General features: G+C 38.9%; 1 annotated feature.

Moving 5' to 3' along the window:
• Positions 2,614–2,823: a silencer, noted in NCBI's record as "fragment chr7:103691916-103692125 (GRCh37/hg19 assembly coordinates)". NCBI's record gives its function as "represses an EF-1alpha promoter that drives an FKBP-Casp9 reporter gene in an ReSE screen in K562 erythroleukemia cells {active_cell/tissue: K562}" and the evidence as "EXISTENCE:reporter gene assay evidence [ECO:0000049][PMID:32094911]".

Consider the following 7,867-nt stretch of genomic DNA (forward strand, 5'->3'; position numbering starts at 1 on the left):
TTGCATGTGCTTTGGTCTGCTCTCAGCCTCAAGGTAAGTTTAGTGGTAAAAGTTCTGCCCCTGCAGGGGGAGGCCACAGTTTTCCCCTGCTACCTGTTGTGGTGGGTGGTTAAGCTGGTCGAATTCTGGTATTCAGCATCAGGTATCTCTTATCACACAGCTAAGTTACTCCCTCAAATTTAACATCAATCAGCAATAATGCTGGTACTTTTATTTTCATTTGCTTGACTCCTTTATCTCCCAGTGCAGAATGTGATACGGGTTGAAGAGTGGACCAACCCAACCCAGAAATCCATCATTCTAACTATAAGAAATTTTCTAGCAGAGAGTTTAAAAAGTCCCAAATTGGAAGTATTCAAATTCTCTGTATTGGTTGACTGCAACTAAATGAGGAGAGGCAAAGAGAATTTCATATGAAGATGCAGTAATGTCTCATTAAACTCGGAGCAAAAAAGCTATTGGACCCTAGAAGAGAACTGGAACTAGGAAATATGAGACTGGCTGGATTCTTTCCACCTCTTGTCTTGACATCTCTGTGCACTTTTTTCATTCTGCTCTTTCTCTGCAGACCAGCTTTCTCTGCTTCTCCAGACCACAGGGAGTTTTGTCAGAGATGGGGAGTGGGATTCATACTGATTCAATCAAGTGTGGTCATGATGGGGAGATTCATATGCAGAGCAATGCATCTACTGTATCAATAGATCAATAACGTCGGTTATCTGCTAACAGTAAGGAATAAGAAATTACTGCATGAGGTTTGGGGACTAAGAAGATAGTTTAAAATAAATGGAGAAAGAGAAACTAGAAATTAAGTAAAATAGGATAGGTAATCTGTGCTGAGGGTACCTGTGAGGTTTGTAGTCCCATATTCAGAGCGAGCCCAATCGTTGGAGCTGCAAATGTTTCCTCAGTCATGAATAGCTGCTGATGTCAGACACAGCCTAAGCAGACAGTTGAGTTTAACCTGCTTTTTTTGGTCAGGTTAGTAAATCAGAGGAAACTGTTGGTGTTATAGAACAGGGAGTTATGAGAGTGATGAAGTACACACTGGAAGAAAGTGAGGTATATGAGGTGGGTGATGGAGAGTTAAAATGTGGTGAAATCAATGGTGTGAAGGGGGTCAAAGATTTATAAATGATCACTCCTACGTTGTAGTTGGTTTAGTTCATTAGTTGCTTTAGAGTTTTTTGTTTTTCTTTGACTTTTTATTGGCCAAGAAAAGAACTATGATTTTGTTTCACTATATTGCTTACAATTTGTTCTTATCTGCTTATTTGTCTATTGCATGGAACCAATCCTTAAACACATTCTTATAGGAGCCCCCTGGCTTGCTTTCCTAATTTGAGCCAATTGCTTTTTCCAGGCTTGCTAGAGAATTCTCCTCTTGGAATTTCTTTATAGTGTGCACCTGAGTTAGTACGATCATTTATTGCAGCCTACTACTCTCCTGTATTATTTTTTATCTTATTTTGTTAGAAGAAAATTCCTCAGAAGGAATATTTTACATGTAACTTTTCTGAGACTTTATGTTACCATCAATGTTGGTTCATAACTTGGCTGAGTATAGATTCTAACTTGAAAATTATTTTCCTTGGAATTTTGAAGGCATTGCTTCATGCCAGTTTAATTCTAATTCCTTTATAAGGTGACGTCTTTTTTCTTCCATGAAAATATTTAGGATCTTTTCTCTATCCTTAGAATTCTGAAATTAGCAATGATACATCTATTTGTGGATTTTTAAAATCGATTTTGCTCCAAATTTGGTGAACAAGTTTAATCTTAATTTAAAATAATCTAGTTCGAATTAATATTAATTTGATTTCAATATTACATAGAAACTTTTCCCCAGTACATATCCCTTCCTCCATTGTGCTGTTATTATTGTCATAAAAATTACATCTTTTCATGTTATAAGCCCATCAACATTGTTTTGTGCAGTTAGCTTTTAACACAGGAGAAGAAAAGAGTTATGAAAAAGTAATTTTAATCTAAAGACTCAGGTCTCTCTTTAGTACTGGGACATTTCCTTCTACTATTTCTTTGAAAATATCCCTTTTTCTGTTTTTTTTAATGAAGTTCAACTAGTGAGATTTTCTGTCTCTGTATATTTTCTGTTATGCCAACCCTTCTATTATTTCATCAATAATGTTTTTAATTTCCAAGAGCCCTTTGTTTTCTGATTGTTCCTTTTTCATAGTATCCTGTTCTTACGTTATACATATATTATATTTATTAATTTAAATATTTACATATACCCCTGGGACAAAACTAACAGGTTAAAAAGTATATTGTGACAAGTAAGCTCTCTCGAAGCTGTAGCCCTAGAGACAACATTATTAATTTCTTACATATCCTTCCAAAGATATTTCATGCATTTAAAAACATACATACATACATACATTCCAGCTTTCCTTTTCTTATTCTCATTCTCTTGTCTTTCCTAAATTATCTCATATTTATTGAAGACCAGCTATTTTCTTTATTTTAGACTTTCCATTTTGTAAGTCTGGTTTTATCCATATGATTTGTTGTCCATTCCCATGTAAAAATGGAGTAACCCAAGTGCGGTGGCTCATGTCTGTAATCTCAGCACTTTGGGAGGATGAAGTGGGTGGATTCTTGAGTCTCGAAGTTTGAAACCAGCTGGGCAACATGACAAAGCCCTATCTCTACCAAAAAAAAAAAAAAAAAAAAAATTAGCTGGGCATGGTAGCATGTGCCTGTAGTCCCAGCTACTCCGGAGGCTGAGGTGTGAGGATCGCCTGAGCCCAGGAGATTGAGGCTGCAGTGAGCTGTGATTGTGCCATTGCAATCACACACAGGGTGACAGAGGGAGACCTGTCTCAAAAATAAATAAATAAATAAATAAATAAATAAAAATTAAAGTGGAGTAGATTACCTTTTTAAGGCATTAGATGTTGATTTTTCTCCTGTTGCATATGTTAGTATGTTTTCTTACTTCTTCTCACCCTTGAGTAGAAAAGCCACCTGGAAGGTGCATGTTTATGTGTAGCAATGATGGCAGAGAAAATGGAGGGAGTTGGCACATAGTATTTATTTAAGAATAAGTGGGGCCGGGCGCAGTAGCTCACACCTGTAATCCCAGCACTTTGGGAGGCTGAGGCAGGCAGATTGCCAGAGCTCAGGAGTTCGAGACCAGCCTGGGCAACACGGTGAAACTCTGTCTCTATTAAAATACAAAAAATTAGCTGGGTGTGATGGCATATGCCTGTAATCCCAGCTACTCGGGAGGCTAAGGCAGGAGAATTGCTTGAACCAGGGAGGCAGAGGTTGCAGTGAGCTGAGATGACACCACTGCACTCCAGCCTGGGTGACAGAGCAAGACTCCGTCTCAAAAAAGTAAATAAATAAATAAATAAAATAAAAAATAAGGATAAAGAGTTGGTCTACATGCTGGGCAGGTGAATGAATAGAGAGGCCGGAACCCACCTAGCAGCCCTAATCCTCTTCCGGCAGTTTGTTTTATGTCTTCCACTTCCAATTAATGCCATGTTTTCCATCTTCTTTCTCCCACATTCTACCCCTGCCTACTCCAAGTCCAGAGTCCCTCTGTGTTTTGTCTAGCAGCTTGGCTCACTCCACACTATCATCCTTCTTTGCATTTACACAGGACTATTTAGGACTATAGCTTCCTCCTATTCATAGTACTTCTTAACATCTCTCATCTGTTCATGGTTCCCTCTAGTACATTGTCCTTATAAAAGTGCTGGGCATTGGAGAGTAATCTAGTTCAAGTACTCCAGACTACCCTTTTATGGCATTTGTTTAGTAATTCAAAAGGATATCCTACATTGGGGCAGGTACTTCTCTACAGAAGGAAATATTTTAATGAAAGGAAATTGTCAATCTGTCATCGTAGGTTTGGAGACATAATTTTGGGGAGCCCCAAGATGAGAAGGGAGAGAAAATGCTATTTTTATTAATTTGTTCCTACGTATTCCCCCACTCCCCATCTGGAGGATTGGTATTTTCATGAGAGACATCTGGCAGCCCTGTCTGTTCCATTCCATGGTTTCTCATTAATAGAACCTACAAGGAAAATGAGCTGCAGTTATTCTTTCTTTCTTGTAAATATAGCATCTTGCAATGATTGCAGCACTTTGGATATTATCATGGCTTTATCTCCCTGGAATAATTTCTCATTTTCTATTTTGAGGTACATTGTTCTATTCTTCTGATCGAAGGACTTTCACTCATTTTGATTCTAGCAACACTATAAAATTAGAGGGAAAAAACTTCAGAAGTTGCAAAACAGTAATGCTGTGGCCTTGTTAAGTTAAGGGACATCACGCTGTTTACCCATTCACACATGCTTATTGATTTAACGTTTTGTAAATTTAGCTTTCTTCAGTCTCAGCTGATGTGTGGGTGCATATACCAACCAGACTGATATTTATGCCATAAGTGAGAAATGAGTTGATAATTTATGAGTGGTGAAACCTAAAGTCAGTTTTTCCCTCAGGAAAGGAAAAAAAACACATGCAGCACATCTTAGACAACTCTCTTCTTTGATTCTTTCATGAAAGTGCACACTTATTGATGGGGTAATTGGAAGAGGGAATTATGCATTTTGGTCAGCCAGCCCACATTTTCCTCTATGAATTATCTCTGAGAGAAATGTACCTGACTAACAGATTTCTTTTTCTTGCCTTTTCTCTGCATCTGTGCAGAGGTTGGGCCTACACTAATGAGGACGTCCTGGGAGTTTAGTGCCTACATATAGAATGTCTGAGGGTTAATACTAAGTGACTGGCCCATGAAGATGCCATGCTGAGGGTGGAGCTAGTAAAATACGTCTATGTAATGATTGATATATGAATACCTCCCCTCGTTCTATGCCTCTGTGCTTTACAAAAGAGTTCTCTGATATTGTTTTGTGTCCTTTTAAACAAGAGAAGTAGATTTGATCACAAAGGGCCCATGCTGTAATGGAGAGAAGGACATGTAAGTTTGGAGAAGAGAGGGTAGGGGAGAGTTGTTTTAATGCCCTCTGGGAAAAACATCCAAATAAACACACACACATGCATGCATACGCATGCATGCAAATACTCATTCTCACATACATGTGCTCAGAGATGAGAATGGGGAATACTAAAGTTAAAAAAATGTCAGCTGGTCAGTCTCTTCTCCTCCTCCTTATCCTCCTCACTCTCCTTGCATTTGGAGATGTCTATGGAAGCCCAAGGACATGTAAGCCAGGAAACTGATCAAAAGTACCAATGCTTGTGTCAAAAATTTCTTACCCCCACAGCAACATGAATCCTTCAGAGACCATGGGCTTTGATATAAGACTTAAACTGTTTTGACTTAGTTTTGCCACTGGTCATCCTAGGGGAGAGAAAGAAACAGAAGTCAGGAATTTGACTCAAATGCTAAAGCTGAAAAAAGAAGGAAAACTTGCAGGGTGCCACACAGCATTCATTGGTCCATAGCAATTCTGATAAACAGCCAGGAACCTGTCATTAATTTCTTAATAAATGCCCAATGCTGTTCCTTGGGAATGACGCTCTGCTTTTCATGGTTCTTTGTTCAAGTTAGCAGTGCTTCTACCAGAATAAGTCTCTCAAATATTCTGTGGATTCTCAATGAATCATATAAAGGTTCAATCCTTCTAAAAAAGGATTTTTTTTGAGACACAGTCTCATTCTGTCACCAAGGCTTGAGTGCAGTTGTGCAATCCTGGTTCACTGTAATTTGAACTCCTAGACTCAAACAATCCTCCCACCTCAGCCTCCCAAGTAGCTAGGACTGCAGGCTTGCTCCACTATGACTAGCTAATTTTAAAAAATTGTTTTGTAGAGACAGAGTCTCACTATGTTGCTCAGGCTGATCTTGAACTCTTGACATCAAGCAATCCTACTGCATTGGCCACCTAAAGTGCTGGGATTACAGGCATGAGCCACTGGGCCTGGCAAGAAAAGAACTTTTAAGAAAGCTACAACTTCAAATCTTTTAAGATAAGCTGTCTTCAACATTGGAGTCCTTATGAAGCTGCTGTGTGATAATCCCTTAAAATTCTAAGAAGCCCCATTGCTTAACAGAAAGGTTGTGAGGCACACCTTTAAGATCCTTAGAAGGACTTTCGTCTATTGAAAATAATCTATGGGGTCTCATCTTAAATCATTCTGAGGTCTTAACAAAATATTTTACAGGCCCATCCTGGATTTAACCTTTGTCTGAAAGCCATTTCTTAATTTAAGAACATTTTGCCAATTTTAAGACATTGAAATAAGACATAGTTTAATTTTCATATCTCACTTCTTTATAATTCCTCTAACTTTTGCTTGAAAATTAAATAGTTACTTTGTTAGCTTTCTATTTCTGTGTAACCAATTACCATACATTTAACAGCCTAAAGCAATACAAATGTATTATCTCATAGTTTCTATGGATCAGGAGTCCAGTATGCTTTAGCTGGATCTTCTGTTCATGGTCTTACAAGGCTGAAAGCAAGGTGTCAGCCAGCTGCAGCCTCATCTGGAGGCTCAACTGGGGAAAGATCTGCTTCCAAGCTCCCTCATTCAGGTTGATGACAGAAATGATTTCTTTGGACTGTATAACTAAGATTCCTATTTCTTGCTGCTTTCAGCTTTTACAGGACACTGTCAGGTTATTGTCATGCAATCCCCTTCATAGACCCTCTAGCCCTTCAAATCTTTTCACAAAATGGGACCAGGCCCTTTTAAGGGCTCACCTGATTGGGTAAAGAGCCCCCCTAGGATAATCTCCTTTTGATTAAATCAAAGTTAATGATAAGGGGCTTTAATTATGTTTTATATTTTAATTACATGCAAAATTCTTTTTTTCCATATAACCTAATTATGAGTGAAATACCAGGGGGTTGAGATGGTGGACGCCATCTTAGAATTCTGCCTACAACAAGATTTTGGTTCATCTGTTCTTCCATTTTACTACAGGCAGCTAAAAAATTCCAGGTAGCACCATCAATGTTCTACATGAAAACTTCCTTAGCTAGATCCTTAGTTTATTATATCTTTCTATTTTTTACATTCTGCTATTCTATAAGGTTCCCTTTTCTGCAGCTTCCAATAACATTTTCCTTAAGGCTGTTATACCTTCCCTGGGACCTCTTAGGCTTCCACTAACATTATTGGCAAGGCTCTTTAGGTTTCCACTACATTCTTCCAGTTTCCACCAATCATTTGGTCCCAAAGCCAATAATACATTTCAGTTTTGTTGTTGTTGTTGTTGTTGTTGGTGGTGGTGGTGTGTGTATGTGTGTGTGTGTTTGAGACAAGTTCTCACTCTGCCACCCAGAGGCTAGAGCACAGTGGCGTGGCCTGAGCTCACTGCAGCCTTGACCTCCTGGGCTCAAGTGATCCTCCCACCTCAGCCTCCCAAGTAGCTGGGACCACAGGTGTATAGCACCACACTTGGATAATTTTGTATTTTTTGTAGAGCTGTGGTTTTATCATGTTGTGCAGGCTGGTCTCAAACACCTGAGCTCAAGAGATCTGCCAGCCTCAGCCTCCCAAAGTGCTGGGATTACAGGCATGAGCCACCATGTCCAGCCTTAGGTTTTTCTTATGGCAGCAGTACCAAAAGCAGGCACAAGCACTAAAATCTGCATCAATTATACACAGCTGTGTAACAAGCCACTCTAAAACTTAGTGGTGTAAAACAACAACAATCATTTTTTTAGTTCACAAAACTGTCAAAATTCAGGCATAGGTCTGTGTCTATTGAACCAATTACTCTGATAAGAGGTGAAATTGCCCTGTAAGGTTAAAAATCTCAAGACTAGGAGTTCTGCTTTTTAGCCATGGAAAATTAGTTGTTTGGACCAAACTCCCCACTGAGAACTAGAAAAGCTGGAAGACACACA

Source organism: Homo sapiens, chromosome 7, assembly GCF_000001405.40.
Source record: "Homo sapiens chromosome 7, GRCh38.p14 Primary Assembly".
Taxonomy (NCBI): domain Eukaryota; kingdom Metazoa; phylum Chordata; class Mammalia; order Primates; family Hominidae; genus Homo; species Homo sapiens.